The 20,676-nt window shown below is 58.2% G+C and overlaps 1 protein-coding gene across 3 annotated transcripts, besides 9 other annotated features; it reads right to left on the bottom strand.

The window, feature by feature from the left end:
- Positions 1 to 227: 227 nt before the first annotated feature.
- Positions 228 to 8,359, bottom strand: MSLN (mesothelin). Of its 3 annotated transcripts, none has more exons than NM_005823.6 (18): positions 8,272 to 8,359; positions 7,919 to 8,020; positions 6,328 to 6,421; positions 5,817 to 5,860; positions 5,402 to 5,451; positions 4,950 to 5,070; positions 4,367 to 4,446; positions 4,057 to 4,186; positions 3,790 to 3,983; positions 3,476 to 3,566; positions 3,303 to 3,402; positions 2,856 to 3,034; positions 2,603 to 2,758; positions 2,283 to 2,425; positions 2,081 to 2,208; positions 1,623 to 1,717; positions 528 to 714; positions 231 to 445 (listed from the first exon to the last, which is right to left on the bottom strand). In NM_005823.6, the coding sequence occupies exons 3-18, from the start codon at positions 6,410 to 6,412 to the stop codon at positions 360 to 362; spliced, it is 1,869 nt and encodes a 622-aa protein (NP_005814.2). In that variant the 5' UTR covers positions 6,413 to 6,421; positions 7,919 to 8,020; positions 8,272 to 8,359; the 3' UTR covers positions 231 to 359. The 3 variants fall into 3 exon arrangements, with proteins under 3 accessions (NP_037536.2, NP_005814.2, NP_001170826.1); NM_001177355.3 differs by having other exon boundaries at positions 7,919 to 7,960; NM_013404.4 differs by lacking the exon at positions 8,272 to 8,359 and having other exon boundaries at positions 228 to 445; positions 2,283 to 2,449.
- Positions 7,929 to 8,126: a mobile genetic element, noted in NCBI's record as "3' partial".
- Positions 7,929 to 9,778: a promoter, noted in NCBI's record as "1850 promoter fragment". NCBI's record gives the evidence for it as "EXISTENCE:reporter gene assay evidence [ECO:0000049][PMID:10683314]".
- Positions 7,943 to 8,423: a promoter, noted in NCBI's record as "-67 to +413 minimal promoter". NCBI's record gives the evidence for it as "EXISTENCE:reporter gene assay evidence [ECO:0000049][PMID:17909009]".
- Positions 8,272 to 8,358: a mobile genetic element.
- Positions 8,395 to 8,423: a protein binding site, noted in NCBI's record as "MCAT; TEF-1 site". NCBI's record gives its function as "positive regulation of promoter activity" and the evidence as "EXISTENCE:protein binding evidence [ECO:0000024][PMID:17909009]".
- Positions 8,403 to 8,421: a promoter, noted in NCBI's record as "CanScript (-65 to -46)". NCBI's record gives its function as "has bi-directional promoter activity" and the evidence as "EXISTENCE:reporter gene assay evidence [ECO:0000049][PMID:21288909]".
- Positions 8,403 to 8,421: an enhancer, noted in NCBI's record as "CanScript (-65 to -46)". NCBI's record gives its function as "enhancer when multimerized" and the evidence as "EXISTENCE:reporter gene assay evidence [ECO:0000049][PMID:17909009]".
- Positions 8,587 to 9,112: an enhancer, noted in NCBI's record as "H3K27ac-H3K4me1 hESC enhancer chr16:809981-810506 (GRCh37/hg19 assembly coordinates)". NCBI's record gives its function as "activates a minimal SCP1, AML or CMV promoter by ChIP-STARR-seq in naive H9 embryonic stem cells {active_cell/tissue: H9 hESC(naive)}" and the evidence as "EXISTENCE:reporter gene assay evidence [ECO:0000049][PMID:30033119]".
- Positions 17,912 to 18,479: an enhancer, noted in NCBI's record as "H3K4me1 hESC enhancer chr16:800614-801181 (GRCh37/hg19 assembly coordinates)". NCBI's record gives its function as "activates a minimal SCP1, AML or CMV promoter by ChIP-STARR-seq in primed H9 embryonic stem cells {active_cell/tissue: H9 hESC(primed)}" and the evidence as "EXISTENCE:reporter gene assay evidence [ECO:0000049][PMID:30033119]".

The raw sequence follows: 20,676 nt of genomic DNA, 5'->3' as shown, positions 1-20,676 counted from the left end.
AGCAGGGGGGCCCGGGAATGTCCTAGCCGGGGCCAAGCCTGTGGGGACAGGGGCACAGGACTCCCACCACCGGCTCCTGGGGCCACCCTGAGTGCTGGCCTGGCCCTCAGCACAGTGGCAGCAGGGTCAGGAAGACCTCCAAGGGCCCCCACCTGGCCTGGGGGCGCAAGACCAGAGGGAGAGGGGCCACGCTGGTGGGGTCACAGAAAGTCCTCGGAGGCCACAAGACGTGTCTGCAGGGGGCATGTTCCCGTTTACTGAGCGCGAGTTCTCTTGGGGTGGAACGGGGACCACCCGTGCCTGCTCCTGGCCAGGCGGGGATCCCCAGCAGGGCTGGGGCCAGCAAGGGAGTGGGGCCCTCAGGCCAGGGTGGAGGCTAGGAGCAGTGCCAGGACGGTGAGAACAGGTCCAGGTCCTAGGAGGCAGGGCGTCCCCGAGAGGGCCTCTACAGAGAGAGGGGTGACTCAGAGCGCCCACCTCCACGCCCCCAGCTCTGCCCCCAGCCCTGGCCTGGCCGCCCCGCCCACCTTGCATGCTGAGGTCTAGGACCAGGTAGCCGTTGGGGATGCCGCCCTGTAGCCCCAGCCCCAGCGTGTCCAGGTCGTCCTGCCGCTGCCGTAGGATCCAGTCCCGCACCGGGCGGTGCCGCTCCTCCGCCTTCAGGCCCTCCACGTGGGGTCCCAGAAGTTTCTGCACCTCAGCCACAGTCAACGGCTGCCAGAGACCCCGGGCAGCCATCAAGGAGGGTCTCCTTCCCTCAGCGCCGCCAGAGGGCTGCCAGGCTCTCCTGTGTCCAAACTGCCCCACCCACAGATGCCCACCGCAGCCTCTCCAGACTTCGGAGGTCTCCGGCCAGCTGACCTCAGCTCAATGGCTGCCCTTCCCTAGGCCCCACCACACGGGAAGATGCTGCCCTTCCTAAGGCCTCGCCCCACTGCAGACCCGCCTTACACGCCCTCCCACCCCCCGTTGGCCCCTCCTCCATGCGCCCCTCCACCAGGGCTTCTCCACTTGCCCCCCCCTCCATGTGCCCCTCCTCCACGCGCCCCCTCCACGCGCCCCCCTCCACACCCCCCCATGCGCCCCTCCTCCTCCACGCGCCCCCCTCCACGCCCCCCCACACGGCCCCCTCCACGCGCCCCTCCTCCACGCGACCCCTCCACGTGCCCCCTCCACGCGCCCCCCTCCACACCCCCCCATGCGCCCCTCCTCCTCCACGCGCCCCTCCTCCACGCACCCCCCTCCACGCCCCCCCATGCGCCCCCCCCACGCGCCCCCCTCCACGCGCCCCTCCTCCACGCCCCCCACGCTCCCCCCTCCACGCGCCCCTCCTCCACGCGCCCCCCTCCACACCCCCCCATGCGCCCCTCCTCCTCCACGCCCCCCCACACTCCCCCCTCCACGCGCCCCTCCTCCACGCCCCCCACGCTCCCCCCTCCACGCGCCCCTCCTCCACGCGCCCCTCCTCCACGCCCCCCACGCTCCCCCCTCCACGCGCCCCTCCTCCACGCGCCCCTCCTCCACGCACCCCCCCACACGCCCCCCCTCCACGCGCCCCTCCTCCCACTCGCCCCTCCTCCACGGGCCCCTCCTCCACACGCCCCTCCTCCCGCTCGCCATACCAGCACCGCATCCGTCCGCAGCTTCATGAACGTGGCCAAGTCCATGCTCACATTCTGCTGACTGAGCGCCTTCAAATCCTCCGTGGGGGCCCCACCTGCCCGCCGGGAGAGGGGCCCGAGCTGAGGCCTCACCTCACACCCCCAGGCCCTTGACCACAGGCTGCAGGAAGCCCACTTGCCTTACAGGGCTTCCCTTTTTCCTTAGGGATTCCAGGGCCTGGGTTTGCCTAGCCGCCTGACCCCCAGGCGTGGGAGACCCTGGAGGTGGCTGGCGCCCCGAGCTGGGGTCAGAACCCACAGCCCCTAAGGCCATACACACCCCGGGGGGCAGAGGGCGGGTGACCACCCAGTTACCCTGGCAGCAGACGGCCCGGCGAGGCAAAGGCCTGGCACCCCCGAGTGGAGTCTGTGCTTCCCCCGTTGTGTTGCCCACCCTGGCCAGGGACTCCCTGGCTCACCCAGGAAGGACTGGATCTTCACGAAGTATTCGGACCCGTTCATGTTCTGGAAAGCAAGGCGGGCCTTGGGATAGAGGACGTCCAGCTGCCTTGGGTCACACGTGTCCAGGTCCTGGGGCCTGACCGCCCTGGGGACACGGTGGGTGGACAGTGAGCGCCAGCACACGGACCCACCTTGCCGGGCAGAGTTCTGGGGACTCACCAGATGCTGCTGGGGGGCACGGAGCTCAGCTCCTCGGGGCTGAGGGAGCACAGGTACCCAGGGTAGAAGGCGGTCAGGGTGTCTAGGGTGTCTTTGTCTAGCTGGCCCCTTCCCTTCACAAAGCGGTCGATCAGGGTGGCCACCTGTGGGAGGGGCCGCCGAGGAGCCTTGTGGCAAGGAGAGATGTATCCCTCCACCACCAGCATAACCTCAGGCCGTGCCCCTGACCCCAGGCCCGCCCAACCTCAGGCTTTGTCCCCCACTCTGCCCCTCAGCCCTTCCCAATCTCATGCCACATGACCCCCGAGCCGGACGGTCACCTGAGGACTCATTTCGTGCCCTTTGTTGACTTCAAGCAAAGCCTTCAGGGTCTCCAGGGACGTCACATTCCACTTGCGAATGTCCTCAGGGCTCATCTTGAGGAAGAGGTAGCCCAGGTGCTGGATCACAGACTCGGGGTAACCTTGTGGGTAGAGCTGCAGGCCAAGAGACCAGGAGGGCCCATGTCACTCCCAGAGGGGCTGGGGATGGCTTGGACACAGCAGGCCGGTGGGAACTTGAGTCATGAACTACCTCATCCAGTTTATGCTTTAGGACGTCCAGCTGCTCGTAGGTGAAGGGGATGGCGTTCACGCGGTCCATCTGGGTGGCCAGCAGGGCCGCATCCACGCAGGCTTCCAGCTCCCACTTCTTGTAGAAGATGAGGCTCTCGTCTATCTCGCGGGCCTTCTTGCCTGAAGGACAGGCTGTCTCTGCAGGGCACAGGGGTCAGGGGTCAGGGCCGGAGTTCGTTTGACCCCTTCTTCCTCCCACACCTCCTGTGAGATGAGACCTCGGGCCATTTGTGACCCTCCCTGTGCCTCAGTTTACCCACTGGCAAACAGGGATTCTGTCCACTCTCTGTGATTATAATGGGATGTGCTGCAGAGCCAGGGAGGGGCAGGTGAGACCCTAAAGTGATGCCCACCCCCAGGGGTGCTGCCCAGCCTGGTGCCAGACTGCGCAGGGCACGGCACTCACTCTCCACTTCCCGCCGGAACCGCGGCCGGAGGATGGTCCGTTCAGGCTGCCGCCAGGATGGGTCCCGAGAGGAGCGTTGCCGCCACGCGGCCACGATGCCCTGAGGACGAGCAGGACCTGGGCTGAGCCTCGGGTGGCCGGGCATCCCCACGGGCTGGGGATTGGGGTCTCACCTGCGGGATGCTGCGGATGATGGGCTGGCCCAGCACGGGCAGCAGGCCCCGCAGAGCGTCCATCGTGGAGACAGACCATGTCGACGGGGGGCTGTGCAGACACGGGACACAGCTCAGGGACCCCCCACGTGCAGCCCCAGAGAGGGAAGAGGCCAGGCCGTACCCCCTGGCTGTGGAGGGGACGCTGGGGGCATTGGCAGGGGTGGTGGCGGGGGTGACTGACCCTGGGCCTTGAGGCATGGCCGCAAGTGTCCTCACGCTGCTGATACCACGCCGCCAGGTGAGCCTTCGAGGTTCCAGACACCTTCACTTACCCGTAGGGGGGTCCCCCGCCCTGCAGAGCCGCCCTGGCTGCCTCCTGCTGGTCCTGGTCCAGGGGTCCCGGGCAGCTCACCAGCCGGGGTAGCAGCACTTCGGCCGACTCGGCCACAAAGCGCCCAGGCAGGTCGCAAGCCAGGCCTCCCAGAGCCCGCACATCAGCCTCGCTCAGCAGAGACCCCCGCACACCCTGCAGAGAGGCTGGCCTCAGCGCTTTTGGAACTGCCGAGCCCTCTCCGCCCCGCGCTGGCCCCAGCCCCTACCCAGCAGGCCAGAGCCGCAGGCAGCAGCCGCTGTCGCTCGGGAGCCCCCCTCGGGAGCAGGTCCACATTGGCCTTCGTGATGCGGGAGAAGAAACGGGTGCAGGCCTGGGGCCCCGAGAACGCATCTGGGCTGTGAAGAGAGGGTGCTGGGGACAGGCCGCACTGATCACACCCGTCCCCACCCTGAGAGGCAGCCCGGCCGGCCTCCACATCTCTGCTGTGGCCTGGGATCCGAGGCAAGGGGCAGGGGGTTGGGGGCTGAGGGCTGGCGGCAAAAGCCGGGGGGGTGGGTTCAGGGGGCAGGGCCTACTTGAGGAATAGCAGCAGGTCCAATGGGAGGGCGTCCAGGTCCTCGGGGGGCTCAGAGAGCCGGTGAGCCAGACAGCGCAGCTGCAGGGGCAGGGAGTCCAGCACAGAGCGTTTCGAGCCGCCACTCACATGGTGGGCCAGGGTCGCCTGGCCAGTCTGCCCACCACAACACACCCCTGCCCTGGCCACGAGAATCTGTGGAAGTGGATCTCTGGCCGCCTGCAGCGCTGCCCTGGGGGATGGGGGCTCCCGTGCCTGGCTCCGCTCCCCTTCCCCAGATCTCACCCACTCCCCCGAAAAAGATTCACCCTTGGGGCAGAGCCTGGAGGGCTGCCCACGGCGCTCCAGGAGGGGGCCCAGCACACAGCGTCATATCAGACTTGCTCCTGGGGAGCCAGCCCCTGACGTGGACAGGCACCCCAGTGGTCAGCTTGGGTGGCCAGAGGAACTCTGGGAAGAACTGGCCGGGGAGAGATGGCAGCAGGGACAGAGGGGACCGTGGTGGCAAGGTGGGCACTGCAGAGCTGCCTGTGAATTCCTCAGCCCCAGCTGTGCCCACCTGCCTCAGCCCAACTGAGACTGACCTGCTCTGTTGAGAGCTTGACATTCTTCTGTGCCAAGGCCACAGCCAGCTCCCGGACACGCTCCGTGCTCAGGCCGGACACCTCCGCACACGGGAAGCCAAGGAGTTGGCGAGGGGAGAGGCTGCAGGAAGGGTCGGGCTGGGCACCCACGATCGCCCCTCCCCTGCAATGTCCACCCAGTGCTCCCCAAGCCCCACAGCCCCACCTCTCCCCAAAGGACCCTGGTGCTCCCTGCAGACCTCCCCCCAAGACCAGGTGACGCCCTCAAGGGCCGGGAGTTGCCATCACCTGAGGGGTGTCAGTCCCTCCCGCAGTCCTGAGCCCAGTCAGATCTGAGGTGGAGCAGAGGAGGAAGGGGGAGGGGATGCTGGGGGATGGGGTGCCCTGCCCACCCTCAGTCCCGAGGGCCCCTCGAGCCTCACCCTTGAGGACTGTGAGGACCCCAGACCCACCTGGAAATGTTAGGTGGGTTGGCCAGGACTCCGTCCAGGGGCGCAGCCTCCTGGGGACACAGGGCCTGCTGAACATGGCTCAGACCAGCTCTCTGGAGCAGGAGTTCCCAGGTCCCGCTACCCCTGGGCCAGGTACTCCCCGAGTTCAGCTACTTCCCAGGCCTGGCTGTGTCTCAGACCCATGGGCTTGGCTGCTTCTCATCCATCTACTTCCCAGACCCAGCTGCAATTTCAGCTCTGCCGCTCCCTGGACCTGGCTGCTCCCAGGCCAGTCACATGCAGGTCCAGGTGCCCCTTTGCAAGCAAGGACCGTGGAAACTGGCAAGCACCGTGGATACGTGACAGAGAGAACACAGCATGGCACCCCCACCTGGGACCTGAAGACCCTCCCCTGTTTCCCCAGAGGGGACCTTACCTGCCCTGTCTCTCCAGCCAGGGTCCTCGAGGGCTGCACCCATCCTAAAGGGGCAGAGGGGACAGCTTGGGGGAGGGGGCGGGCCTCTGGGCTGTGCCCTGACCCAGGGGAGGAAGGAGGCAGAGCCTGGCCGCCCCCACAGCCAGCCCTGTGCACACCCCAAAGAGAAGCCAGTGGCTCAGGCCCATGTACCCCGTGACATCACAGTCCCCCAGGCACAGGGGTCGGGACTCCACCAGGGAGCCCGGCCTTCCACATCTTTCCCTGAGACCCGGCTGCTTGGCCGGTCAGACCACCCATCCCACAGACATCCCCACTGTGTCCTGAGCCCCATCACTCCCTGGCTGGATCTCCAGCTCCAGTCACCTCTGGGGGCAGAGACTGCTGCTGAGACGTGGCCACCACAGGCACTCCAGGGAGAAGGCAGGGGCAGGCAAAGCCTTGCTGGGGGCCTGGCCCCCAAGGCCCCTGGGCCGTCCCCACCTCACCAGCAGCCCCATCAAGTACGCACCGAGGCTGAAGAGCAGGAACAGGAGGCTGCCGAGGGCGGGGGTCCCACAGGACCCCAACAGGGGTCGAGCCGTTGGCAAGGCCATGGTCTGTGTCTGTGGAGGGCAGTGACTCAGGATGGGACCCCCTGCTCCCACCCCACGCCTCTGTCCTGGGCCAGCCTGGGGCCACATGGGCCCAGGAGGGGCTCCCAGAGCAAACTTCTGTGGTACCTGCAGCTTGTGTCCGCACCCTGGCCCTGCCCTCCAGCCACTGAGCCCTCTGTCCCCTGGACTGGCTCCTCCTGTCCAGGGGAGGGGCTGGGTCTGAGATCCCGGTCCCCAGCCCAGACAGCCCAGGAGTCAGTTGGCGCCCACCCCTCTCCCAGAAGGGCAGGGCAGTGTGAGCAGAGCTTAGATCAAGCAACCGGGGCCGCCGCCCACTTGGGCTGGCCTGAGTCTCCCCACTCTCGCACAGGAGGACGAGCAGCCCCGTCGCCTGGATGTGGCTCCCTTCCCTCTCCCCTGCCCTCAGCTGCAGGTGCCTGGGCTTTGTGAACACCCCAGGCTCTGCCAGGCAGACAACACCCTTGAGGCAGGAGGGGCACTGCGGGCACAGAGGCCACCGCCCCTTCCCACCCAGCAGCGTCTTTTTGGGCCACTTGGCCTCTCTGAGCCCATTTTCAGGTGCAGTCCAGGTGGGGCGGGGCTGGGCCAGTGAGCAGCCTGGGGAGCCCCTTGTACTCTCTAGGGTGGGGCCTGTGGGCCACTGTGGGGTGGGGAAGTGGGTGGGGAGACCCTCCCTGAACAAGAATTGTCCTCCTGGGGTAGGGGTGGGGCTCGCAGAAGAGGGAACTGGCTTCTACACTCACCCCTTTCAGGGAGGCCACCATGGCGGAGTAGAATAGAGCTGCCTCCTGAAAACCTTGGCCCAGGCCCGGTGGGTCCACCCACAGCTCAGAAATGGGGGTCACACGCTCATGCTCAGCAGCCCCATCCACAGGCAGAGCCTGCCTGGTCGGCCCGGCCACTGGGGAATGTCGCGGGGAGGCACACAGCCTCCGGGTGACAGACTCTACTCCCCCAGGCCCCAGAGGAAGTGGGGAGGCCCCTGAGGCTCTGAACACCTTGAGAAGGTGGAAGAAAACAGACCCCCCCCACAGCCAGAAAATGGGCAGTGAGTGGGACCCCCAGCCCTTGGGGTGCGTGAAGCCAGGAGGGAAACGTGGCCATCGGATCACAGGGGACCTGGGCACTCCCCACCCCAGCTCCATGTGACCCAAGGACCTCAGCACCTGGGATGGGGGCTCCCCGAGAGCCCGGCCCTTCCTGCTCTGAGGGGCCTCTGCAGGCCATGGGGGGCCCTGGAATCTGCATCCTTTACACCTGCAGGAGAGCTGGGCTGGGGCCGTGGAGGCACCTGCACTGCCTTAGGACTGCCGCTTCCAAACAAATGGGTCTGCGTGTGCCCTGCGGGGTGAAATCTGCGTCCAGCTGAAGCCTGACCATCGCTCTGGTGCTGGAAGCCCGGCCTGGGGCGGCCCCAGTTCTCCAGATGGAAGGTGCAGATTCCATCCACACCACAACAGGAAGAGCTCAAAGGTTGTTACTTACAGATCCCAGGGAGGGAGGCACCGTGGGTCCACCGGTAGCTCTCTGTCCGCGCGTCACAGCAGACGGGAGTGGCCGGCCAGGCAGAAAGAGGAGTGCGTGGCGCTGGCAGCGCCCATGAGGAACAGGACAGCCCCTTTCAGATCGCGGGCCAATGCCCACACGTGGGCCTCTAAAGGGCGATGTGAAAGGGGAAGCCCAGCCCCCAGGCCTCTGAGGCCTTCTGCGCAGTTGGGTAGGGAGCTTTACCCCTAACGCCCGGGCAGCCCCCAGCCCTCCAGGTCCCGAGTGGCCCCTCCCAGGTCTCAGTGGGCCCTGCCCAGGGTAACTCTGATGTGCAGGGTGATTGGCCACACCTGAGCCTCCTCTGCCTCGGTTTCCTCAATTGGGAAGTGGGGGTGGAGAGCCTGGCAGCCTCCCGGGCCGTCAAAGGGAACAAATGACGGCTTTGCCCGGGGCAGCAGGGAGTGGTGGCGCCTCACGCCCCAGGAATGTGTGGGTGGAGACCCCGCACAGGAGCCTTGGACAGGCAGCGGGCCAGGCCTGGGGGAGGAGGGATGCCCAGGAAGGCAAAGCTGCCCTCGGTGGGCGAGGGTGGGAGCCCGGGCCCAGGTTTCACGGCTGCCCTGGGTGGGTGTGGGGCATGTGTAGGAGCCCGGGCCCAGGTTTCATGGCTTCCCTGGGTGGGTGTGGGGCGTGGGTGGGAGCCTGGGCCCAGGTTTCACGGGATCCCACTCTGATTCTCAGGTGCTGAAACCCAGGGAGCACTGGCCCCCCCAGTCGCAGGTCAGCAGGCTCTGGATGGTGGCCACGCAGCCCAGACAGGACTCCCGGGAGCACAAGCCTGACCCCCAGTGCAGTGTGGGCCTCGCAAGGCTGTGAGCCGTCCGTCTCAGGGCTGTGGGAGCACACAGGTCAGGGAGGCAGGACGGGGCCCAGCTCCAGGCACACGCACACCCCTTTCTCGCAGGGTCGACTGGAACAGAGCTGCCCCCGGGCGCTCTCTGGCCTGGCGAAGTGGGAGCTGTCTTCCCTACGCATCTGGGCTGGCTGCCTGCTGCTGATGGAAGAGCTGCTCCTCCTGACCTGGGGCCACAGAAGCCCCCTCCCTGCCCCTGAAACCCCTCCCAGCATGTCGTGAGCTCTTATCCCCAGTACGGAATCTGCCTCCGCTATGAACACCTGCAAAGGTTTGTGTGCTGAACGGAGGTGTGCGCGGCGGTCATCTCTGGTCTCTCCACAGAGTGGGTTTTCTATCGTGACTCGCGGTGGAATCGGACCTTCACGCACACAGAATTCAGCAAGGCTGCCAGGTGTAAGCGTCAACTTACAAATGTCAAGAAGGGATTAAGGGCCTTTTAAAAACTCCCTTCCGCAGAGAACAACTGAAAAATTCCAGACACTCTTGTAGCAAACCAGTTACCCAAGGGCTCTGGGGAGGGGACAGAAGGCAGCCGGCTTGGGCGGGAACTCACAGGTAAAGGGAGAGGCCAGCTCCGAGTGGCGTTCCCTTTGTGTCCACACAGCTTTGCTCTGAAGGAGCCGCAGGTTGGCTGCGGGGCTGTGAAGTGGCCCAGGCTGCCACGGACACCCACAACTTTCCCGGCCAAAGGCCAAAGGAAACCAAGGAAGGAGCCCAGAATACTCAGGGCCCAGAGCTCGAGGAGAGGCCTGAGCCGGAGGAGCCAAGGAGGCGCCCACGTGCCCAGCTGAGCCCTGAACTGAAGGAGCCGAGGAGGGTCCAGGAAGAGCTCGGAGGGCCCCGTAGACACGGCTGAGCCCTGAACAGGAGCCTCAGAGGGGCCCATGTGCCCGGCTAAGCTCTGAACCAGCCGACTGCAAGCTGCGGACAATGATGAAAACGCGCTGTGGCCAGCCTGGGCTCACCCTTCAGCCAGCACCGTGGGAGGCCGATGCGGGAGGGTCCGTTGAGGCCAGAAGTTCAAGACCAGCCTGGGCAACGTAGTGACACCTCATCTCTATAAAGAATCTTTAAATGAGGCCCTGTGTGGTGGCGCACGCCTGTCATCCCAGCACTTTGGTAGGCCGAGGTGGGCGGATCACCTGAGGTCAGGAGTTCGAGACCAGCCTGGCCAACATGGAGGAACCCCGTTTCTACTAAAAATATGAAAATTAACTGGGCGTGGTGGCACATGCCTGTAATCCTAGTTACTCAGGAGGCTGAGGCAGAAGAATCACTTGAACCCAGGAGGTAGGGGTTGCAGTGAGTCGAGATCACGCCACTGCACTCCAGCCTGGGCAACAGAGCAAGACCCTGTCTCAAAAAAAAAAAAAAAAAAAAAAAAAATGCCGGGCGCAGTGACTCACGCCTGTAATCCCAGCACTTTTGGAGGCCGAGGCAGGCAGATCATGAGGTCAGGAGATCGAGACCATCTTGGCTAACACGGTGAAACCCCGTCTCTACTAAAAATACAAAAAATTAGCCGGGCGTGGTGGCGGGCGCCTGTAGTCCCAGCTACTCGGGAGGCTGAGGCAGGAGAATGGCGTGAACCCGGGAGGCAGAGCTTACAGTGAGCCGAGATGGCACCACTGCACTCCAGCCTGGGCAACAGAGCGAGACTCCATCTCAAAAAAAAAAAAAAAAAAAAAAAAGCCCAGGCGTGGTGGCTCACGCCTGTAATCCCAGCACTTTGGGAGGCCGAGGTGGATCATGAGGTCAAGAGATCAAGACCATCCTGGCCAACATGATGAAACCCCGTCTCTACTGAAAAAAAAAAGAAAGAAAGAAAGAAGAAAAATAAGAATATCTGTGTGATTTTTTTTTTTTCTGAGACGGAGTCTTGCTCTGTCGCCCAGGCTGGAGTGCAGTGGCGCGATCTCCGCTCACTGCAACCTCCGCCTCCCAGGTTCATGCCATTCTCCTGCCTCGGCCTCCTGAGTAGCTGGAACTACAAGCGCCCGCCACCATGCCTGGCTTTTTTTTTTAAGTAGAGATGGAGTTTCACCGTGTTAGCTGGGATGGTCTCGATCTCCTGACCTCGTGATCCGCCCACCTCGGCCTCCCAAAGTGCTGGGATTACAGGCATGAGCCACCATGCCCGGCCATATCTATGTGTCTATGTGATTGAAAGAACGTAGATTCCTACCTCATATTATATGCAAAATTTACTCAAAGCCAACCATAGGCCTGAGTATAAAGGCTGAAACTATAAAACCATTAGAAGGAAATTCAAGAGGAAGTGTTTGTGGGCTTGGAACAGGCAAAGACCTGTTAGATGGAAGAAAGAAGGCAGAAACCATGACTGACACTGCTGCTCTTTGAATGATGCCGTGAAGAAAATAAAGAGCCAAGCCACAGAATAAGAGAAATATTTGCATGACATATACCCAGAATTGACAAGGAACATTTGCAGTTCAATGATAAGACAGACAATCCCGTAAAACCCAGGCCATATGTGCTGCAACGCGGCTGAGCCTGGAAACACGGACACGTCGTACGAGTCCCTTTAGATGAAACGTCCAGAGTGGGTCAATTTAGAGAGACAGGAAGTAGATGAGTGGTTTCGTAAGACCCGCGGGAGGGAGACCAGTCAGGAGGACTGACTTCTAAGGGGTATGGAGTTTCTTTCCTTTTCTTTTTTGAGATGAGTCTCCCTCTGTCGCTCAGGATGGAGTGCAGTGGCTCGATCTCGGCTCACTGCAAGCTCCGCCTCCCAGGTTCAAGCGATTCTTCTGCCTCAGCCACCGGAGTAGCTGGGATTACAGGCGCCCGCCACCACGCCCGGCTAATTTTTGTATTTTTAGTAGAGACGGGGTTTCACCATGTTGGCCAGGCTGGTCTCAAACTCCTGACCTCAAGTGATCAGCCCGCCTTGGCCTCCCAAAGTGCTGGGATTACAGGCGTGTGCCACCACGCCCAGCTAATTTTTGTATTTTTAGTAGAGACGGGGTTTCACCATGTTGATCAGACTGGTCTTGAACTCCTGACCTCAGGCGATCCGCCCACCTTGACCTCCCAATGCTAGGATTTCAGGCTGCAGCCACCACACTGGGCCCGAACGGTACTTCCAATGGGTAAATGGGTGAGCTGTATAGTGTGGATTATCTCTCAGTAAAGCTGTTATTTAAAAATGGGCAAAAGATTTAAACAGACACTGCACACACACACAAAAAGATACAAAAGCCAGGTGTGATGGTGCATGCCTGTAGTCCCAGCACTTTAGGCTGAGGTGGGAGGATCACTTGACCCAGGAGTTTGAGGCTGCAGCGAGCTATGACCACGCCACTGCACGCCAACCTGGGTGACATAATGGGACCCCATCTCTGCAAAAAATTTAAAAACTAGCCAGGCATGGTGACGCAGGCCTGAAGTCCCATCTACTTGGGAGGAGGAGGTGGGAGGATAGCTTGAGGCCAGTTTGAGGCTGCAGTGAGCTATAACCACACCCTGGGTGAAAACCCTGTCTCAAAAAATACACAACACACGATCAATCTGAATGTGAAAAGAGGCTCATCGTCATCACCGCTCACTAAATGCAAATGAAATCCACAAGGAGATACCACTCACTACACACCCACTAGACATTACTCATTAAGGAAATGCAAATTCCATCCGCAGTGAGAAATCCACAGTGCAACACTGCGCATTACACACCCACTAAAATGACTAAATTAAGGACCAACAATGACAAGTGTTGGCAAGGAAGTGGAGCAACTGGAACTCTCAGAGGCTGCTGGTGGGAGTGCAAATGGATACAGGCAGTTTTGTTTGGCACTTTATTAAGAAGTTAAACTTATACCCAACCATGCCACTTAGCTATTCCACTCCTAAGGAATGTCCCGAGAGAAATGAAAACGTGTTCACACAAAGACTTATGCATGAATATCTACAGCAGCTCCATTCACAATAGCCAAAAATGGTTTAAAAAAAAAAAATATATATATATATACACACACACTTCCATCAATAGATGAACAAAGTATGGCATATTAACACTATGGTGTACTGCCCAATGATAAAAAGGGCAATACCATCTCATATACGAAAAAAATAAATGAATTTCAAAATCATTATGCTCAATGAAAGAGGCAGACTCAGAGTACATAAGGTATGATTCCTCTTACATAAAAATTTAAAAGGCAAGCTAATCTATTCTGACAAGAAGCAGATCAGTGGTTGCCTGTGCTGGGCAACTTCATCAGAATGAAGGATTCCTACTCAACAAGAGCAGGAGAGAGGAGCAGACTGCAGAGACTCTAGGAAGTCTCTGGAAGGTGAGGAAAATGCTCTGTGTCTTGACTGTGGTGATGGATTCGTGGGTGTGTATAACTTCCAGGACTGTTTGAATTATATGCTTTATTTTCTTCTTTGGAGGCAGCGTCTTGCTCTGTCGCCCAGGCTGGAGTGCAATGGCACAATCACGGCTCACTGTAGCTTCAACCTCCAGGGCTCAGGTGATCCTCCCACCTCCACCTAAGTAGCTGGGACTGCAGGTGCGTGCCACTGTACCCGGCTAATTTTTGTAGAGATGGGGTCTCGCTATGTTGCCCAGGCTGGTCTTGAACTCCTGGGCTCAAACGATACACCCATCTTGGCCTCGCAAAGTGCTGGGATTATAGATGTGAGCCAGCGCATCCAGCCTGAAATTGTATACTGTAAATGGATGCATTTATTGTACATAAGTTTAACACAATAAAACTGATATAAAAATTAATAGCAGCTAGGCCCGGTGGCTCATGCCTGTAATCCCAGCACTTTGGGAGGCTGAGGCGGGCAGATCACCTGAGGTCAGGAGTTTGAGACCAGCCTGACCAACATGGCAAAACCCTGTCTCTACTAAAAATACAAAAATTAGGCTAGGCACAGTAGTTCATGCCTGTCATCCCAGCACTTCGGAAGGCTGAGGCGGGCGGATCACTTGAGGTCAGGAGTTTGAGACCAGCCCGGCCAACATGATAAAATCCCATCTCTACTAATAATACAAAAATTAGCCAGGTATGGTGGCGTGCACCTATAATCCCAGCTACTCAGGACGCTGAGTCAGGAGAATCGCTTGAACCCGGGAAGCGGAGGTTGCAGTGAGCCAAGATGGTGCCACTGCCCTCCAGCCTGGGTGACAGAGCGAGACTCCATCTCAAAAAATAAAAATTAGTAGCTTAACAAGCTGTGATGAGGATGTGGAGGGACAGGAACCCCCGTGTGCTGCCGGTGAGCACGTTAGAGGGTGTGGCCTCCGTGGAGAACAGCTTGGTGGTTCTGCGGGACAGGAACCCCCGTGTGCTGCCGGTGAGCAGGTTAGAGGGTGTGGCCTCCGTGGAGAACAGCTTGGTGGTTCTGCAAAAAGTTAAACATAGAATGACCACATGACCCAGCAATTCCCGCAAAACAAAAGAATAAAAAACGGGAACTTGAACAGATCCTCACACACCCATGTTCCCAGCAGCATTATTCATAACGGCCAAGGCAGAAACAACCCCTGTCCATCAACTGATAGACAGATAAACACAATGTGGTCCATCCATACAATTATTCATGGAAAAAAACAGACTATGGAAAAAAAATTTTTTTTGAGACGGGGTCTTGCTCTGTCACCCAGGCTGGAGGGCAATGGCACCATCTCAGCTCACTGCCTCCTCAGCCTTCCAGGCTCAAGCGATTCTCCTGCCTCAGCCTCCTGAGTAGCTGGGATTACAGGCGCCCACCACCACGCCCGGCTAATTTTGTATTTTTACTAGAGACAGGGTTTCACCATATTGGTCAGGCTGGTCTTGAACTCCTGACCTCAGGTGATCCGCCCGCCTCGGCCTCCCAAAGCGCTGGGATACAGGCGTGAGCCACTGCGCCCCGCCTCTGTGAAATATTTCAAAGAGGTTTCTTCTGAGCCAATATGAGTAACTGCAGCCCAGGGAAAACAAGCCCAGGAAGCCTCAAGTGTATGATTCTGAAGCTGTCAGGTTAGAAATTTGGTTTTGTACATGCCAGGGAGGCAGCAGTTATAGGCAGACATAAAATACATAAGTCAGTGTACATCAGTTCAGCCCTAAAAGATGAGCAATCTTTTTTTTTTTTTTTTTTTGAGATGGAGTTTTGCTCTGTTGCCCAGGCTGGAGTGCAATGGCACAGTCTTGGCTCACTGCAACCTCTGCCTCCTGGGTTCAAGCAATTCTTCTGCCTCAGCCTCCCGAGTAGCTGGGATTACAGGCACCTGCCACCACGCCCGGCTAATTTTTGTATTTTTAGTAGAGACGGGGTTTCACCATGTTGGCCAGGCTGGTCTCGAACTCCTGACCTCAGGTGATCTGCCCACCTTGGCCTCCCAAAGTGCTGAGAGGACAGGCGTGAGCCACCGTGCCCGGCTAAAGGTGGGATATCTCAAAGTGGGGTGGGGAGTGTGTTCCAGGTGTATTCAGATTCTCTTTAACTTGTAATTGGTTAAAGGAGTCAGGCTCTAAAACTCGGAACCACCAAAAAGGAAGGTGTAAGGTCACGTAAGGACGCTGTGTCAGAGTCCGCCCCCTCCACTGGGTCACAGTGACCCATGTAGCAGGAGGGCGAGAAGCAGGCGTGACCTAACCTCTGCCCGGCAGGGCCTTAGGCCTCCTTTATAATTTGGTATCTTATTGCCAGAGTCTCTTTGTCAGTCTTGCGATCTGTACTTTAACATGAATGCCGGGTGGTCGTTAAGCCTCAACTCCAGAAGGGAGGGGTACAAGGAGGCTGCCCGACTCCCTTCCCATCATGCTTGGGAACTCTGTTTTAAGGTTTTCTTTGGGGTCCCCTTGGCCAAATGGGGGTCCTTTCAGTTGGTGTGGGACTTAGGATTTTATTTTTAGTTATTCAATGAAATATCATTCAGCCCTAAAAGGGAGTAACATTCTGACACGTGCTACAATGTGGATGAACCCCGAGAACACTTTGCCGGCCGGACGGGCGCGGCAGCTCACATCCGATGGGCGCGGCAGCTCACATCTGTAATTCCAGCACTTTGGGAGGCCCAGGAGAGTGGATCACTTGAGGTCAGGAGTTCGAGACCAGCCTGGCCAATGTGGTGAAACCCCATCTCTACTAAAAATACAAAAATTAACCAGACACAGTGGCTCATGCCTGTAGTCCCAGCTACTCAGGAGGCTGAGGCAGGAGAATCGCTTGAACCCAGGAGGTGAAGGTTGCAGTGAGTTGAGATCACGCCATTGCACTCCAGCCTGGGCAACAGAGCGAGATTTTCTAAAAAAAAAAAAAAAAAAAATTGCGGGGGTGAGGGGTGCAAACGTATGAGCCTGTTTATTTGAAACATTCAGAACAGGTGAAGACACAGACGGAAAGAAAACAGCAGCGACCGGGAGCCAGAGCAGTGGAGAATTATTGTTTAATGGGGACAGTGTCTGTGTGAGGTGAGAAATTTCTAGAAATGGGTAGCGGTGATGGTTATACAGCATTCTGAATGTACATAATGCCACTGAATTACGCACTTAAAAGCGACGAAAGCCGGGCGTGGTGGCTCAGGCCTGTAATCCCAGCACTCTGGAAGGCCGAGTCAGGTGGATCACTTGTGGTCAGGAGTTTGAGACCAGCCTGGCCAACATGGCGAAACCCCGTCTCTGTCAAAAATACAAAAATTAGCTGGAAACCGCTTGAACCCAGGAGGTGGAGGTTGCAGTGAGCCGAGATCATGCCACTTCACTCCAGCCTGGGTGACAGAGGGAGACTCCATCTCGGGGGAAAAAAAAAAAAGAAAAAGTGGAGATGGGGAGGAAACCAAAAAAGGGAACGGAGCAAGATCCCCGAGGCCCTGGGACCAAACTACACTGCAAAGCATTGGTAAATCTGACTTCATCTGAAAGAAGGGGATTTCTACTGAATGAACCAACTGGCAGCTGAGAGGCAGATGTCAAACAAACACACAGAAGACATTTCCCAGCACCTGAAAGAGTCCACGGCACAGCGAGCAGCAGGGACGTCCAAAACCAGAGAAACAGCCAACGTGGGGGAAAAGCAGGGGCCGAGGGAGAGGGAGAAAAGCAGGGGCCGAGGGAGAAGCCACCAGCTCAGGGGAGCGACTGGGTGACTGGTTCACCAGGAGGGGTTTGAGGTCTGACCTTTGTACATCCATTGAAATTCAAATTAGAACAAGGAGCTTTGCGTGAGCAGAAGGAAGGGCTGCGGTGAGAGGGACGCTGGAACCTGGAGGGAACAGGCCTGGAGAGAAGAGGCTGCCCTGGTTCCCACCGCCCCTGCGCGATCTCGCAGCCCGTGGGTGGCTTTCCTTCTGGTCTCCTCTGCGCCTCGTTTGGCTACGCTCACAGGCGCCTCGCTTCCGTGCTCACCTTACCCCTCCCTACACCCACCCCACTCCACGCTGCTCCATGCCAGGGACGCTGCTCCGTGCCAGGGACACCGCTCCGTGCCAGGGACGCCAGGGAAGGTGGCTGCCAGGGTGCCTTCACCCCCACCCACCCCAGGCTATTGTTGGCCTTTTCACACTTTGAATGAATAAAATAACTTTGGTGTTGTTTGTTCTACATATTTAAAAAAAAAATACCTCTTCTCTTTGGTTTTCACATGGCCAAATCGTCAGGGTACTGGCCGTCGCGTTTAAGAAGTTGAGTAAATAGAGATGTCCGGCTTTGCTAGCTCAGCCTCTGGTGTGGACGCATTGAACGTTAATCCGATAATCCACAGAGGATCCCTCAGCAGGACCCACTCGCAGAGAGCAGTAGCCATGCTCTGAGCTCAGAGGCTGGCTTCTGCTCCCATCGCTCTAAATTCCATCCCCCATGAGGTCAAAACAGAAAAGAGGACCGAGCCCCTAGCCTGGAGCAGACGCATCACTGGGTCTCCGCCCCGGTCACCTCTTCCAGGAAGTCTTCCCTGGTTGGCCCAGGCTTCCCGACTCTGGGAGGTCAGCGCCTCTCGCTCGGCCACTGTTTCCTCCACCCGCCAGGCCAGAGCAGGATGTCCTGTGCAGTCAGGGCTGTGGGAGGTGGCCTTCTATCCCCGTTTTACAGAGGAGAGAAATGAGGTGCCGAGAGTTCAAATGAGGGGCCAGGTCCCTCACGGGAACCAGGTCTTCAACACAGGAGCATGGGCACAGCTCAGGGGCCAGGCACTATGGAGTGGTCCCGGCTTGGCTGATGGTGGAGTGGGCGGTTCCGGAAGCTGAGATTCCAATTCTGCAAAACAGACATCGGTGCATGGAGCAGTACTTGGTCCGGGGGCTGTGATGCTGGCACACAGCCGGCCCAGACAGGGGCACCACGATGGTTATGATGGAGGAAGCTCTGCCTTTTCCAGGCCTCCACCCTCATAAAACACGACCAGAGTGACTCCATCTCATAGTCCCTAGCTTGGCACTCACAAGGCAAGTATAAAGTTCATGCTTAGGGGCTGAAAACAGCTATGTCCCAAGCTGACCACCAACTATGACTGCAAAATAGTTATGCAAATAGCTGCAAAATAGTTATGGCCATACAGGACATTTCCCAGCAGGCCTGAGAATGTCCAGACCTCCGGAGAGTGCAGCCCACTTCACTGAGAAAGCGCCAGTGAGCAGGCTGAGGCTGAAGGTGATTGGTCACCGGGAACACCAGCAGCCCCAACCTTCGGTGAGCACAGCTGCACATTCAGGTCTACGTGTAGAGATTCCTTGTAGTTTCTTATAAGCAGAAACACTAACAAAGGACAGCGAGTTCTTCCTGCTCTCTGAGCACGTCCGCTTTGTAATAGAATCATTCGTTGTTTTTTTTTTTGAGACGGAGTCTCGCTCTGTCGCCCAGGCTGGAGTGCAGTGGCGCGATCTTGGCTCACTACAAGCTCTGCCTCCCGGGTTCACACCATTCTCCTGCCTCAGCCTCCCGAGTAGCTGGGACCACAGGCCCCGGTCACCATGCCCAGCTAATTTTTTATATTTTTAGTAGAGACGGGGTTTCACTGTGTTAGCCAGGATGGTCTTGATCTCCTGACCTCATGATCTGCCTGCCTCGGCCTCCCAAAGTGCTGGGATTACAGGCATGAGCCACCGTGCTCGGCCTCTTCTTTTGTTTTTTTGAGGCGGAGTTTCACTCTAGTGGCCCAGGCTGGGGTGCAATGGCACAATCTCCGCTCACTGCAACCTCCACCTCCCAGGTTCCCACGATTCTCCTGCCTCAACCTCCCAAGTAGCTGGGATTACAGGTGCCTGCCACCACGCCCAGCCCAGAGTCATTTCTAATAAACTTGTCTCACGGGGCATGGTGGCTCATGCCTGTAATCCCAGCACTTTGTGAGGCCAAGGCGAGCGGATCACGAGGTCAGGAGTTACAGACCAGCCTGGCCATCATGGCGAAAGCCTGTCTCTACTAAAAATACAAAAATTAACCGGGCTTGGTGGCAGACGCCTGTAATACAAGCTACTCGGGAGGCTGAGGCAGGAGAATCGCTTGAACCCGGGAGGCAGAGGTTGCAGTGAGCAAAGATCCTGACATTGCACTCCAGCTTGGGCAACAAGAACAAAACTCTGTCTCAAAAGAAAAAGAAAAGTTTCGACAATGGCTGGGTGCAGTGGCTCACGCCTGTAATCCCAACACTTTGGAAGGCCGAGGCAGGTGGATCACGAGGTCAGAAGATCGAGACCATCCTGGCCAACATAGTGAAACCCTGTCTCTATTAAAAATACAAAAATTAGCTGGGCATGGTGGCACATGCCTGTAATCTCAGCTACTCGGGAGGCTGAGGCAGGAGAATCGCTTCAACCCAGGAGGCAGAGGTTGCAGTGAGCTGAGATCGCACCACTGCACTCCAGCCTGGGCGACAGAGCAAGACTCCATCTCAAGAAAAAAAAAAAATTTCAACCGAAGCAGTGCCACATGGAAAATGAATGTGAACATATTCTCTGGGGTTAGCTATGTCCTAAAAGAAAGAAAAGCGGTTATTCATCTCAATGCAAGATTTCAAAATAAAGCTGAAGGTTGTGAAAGTTGGCCAGCTCTTACAGGCCATCTCCATGCAACTGCCCACAGTCCATTCCTAGAATTCCTGTAACATGATTTTTTTTTTTTTTTTTAAAATAGAGATGGAATCTCACCATGTTGCCCAGGCTGGTCTCAAACTCCTGGGCTCAAGAGATCCCGCCCGCCTGGGCCTCTGAAAGTGTTGGGATTACAGGCCTGAGCCACTGTACCCGGCCAGTACGCTTTTTCACATGTTAAATTTTCTTTTTAGCTTTTTCTTTTCTTTTTCCTATAGTTTTTTTCCACTACTTTATTTTTATGTTTTGAGATGGAGTCCCGCTCTGTTGCCTAGGCTGGAGTGCAGTGGCGCAATCTCGGCTCACTGCAACCTCCGCCTCCCGGGTTCAAGCGATTCTCCTGCCTCGGCCTCCCGAGTAGCTGGGATTACAGGCGTGCACCATCACGCCCGGCTAATTTTTTTGTATTTTAGTCAAGACAGGGTTTCGCCATGTTGCCAGGCTGGTCTCGAACACTTGACCTCAGGTGATCCTCCCACCTTGGCCTCCCAAAGTGCTGGGACTACAGGCCTGAGACACCACGCCCGGCCCTGTTCGACTATTTTAAATTGTCGGCGTTTCCACAGCTCACTGCGCACCTGTGACGGAGGCGTGGGTCACACAGGCCTCCTCATTAGCTGCTAATTGCAGCATGTCACGGCCTCCACCTGTTGACAAGACGTGGCTGCCCCCAGGGTGGATGTGGGTGTTGATTATGCTGCTAACGACCCCACGCCCATCCCGACAGCAATTCCGTTCCACAAATAAAACGTCTGCTCGGCCAACGGAGAGCCCGAGTCCTGCTTGACAGAGGGCGGG

Source organism: Homo sapiens, chromosome 16, assembly GCF_000001405.40.
Source record: "Homo sapiens chromosome 16, GRCh38.p14 Primary Assembly".
In the NCBI taxonomy this organism is placed as follows: Eukaryota; Metazoa; Chordata; class Mammalia; order Primates; family Hominidae; genus Homo; species Homo sapiens.
The sequence above is the reverse complement of the archived record's forward strand: the minus strand, read 5'-3'. Positions and strand labels throughout refer to the sequence as shown.

Bases quoted from the DNA above. Each gene is read 5' to 3' on its own strand.
- MSLN (NM_013404.4), bottom strand. From the start codon at position 6,412: ATGGCCTTGCCAACGGCTCGACCCCTGTTGGGGTCCTGTGGGACCCCC. The intron at 5,452-5,816 runs GTAAGGTCCCCT...CTGTGTCCCCAG, and splicing joins TGGCTGGAGAGACAGGGCAG to GAGGCTGCGCCCCTGGACGG. The intron at 446-527 runs GTGGGCGGGGCG...CTCTCTCTGTAG, and splicing joins CCTAGACCTCAGCATGCAAG to AGGCCCTCTCGGGGACGCCC.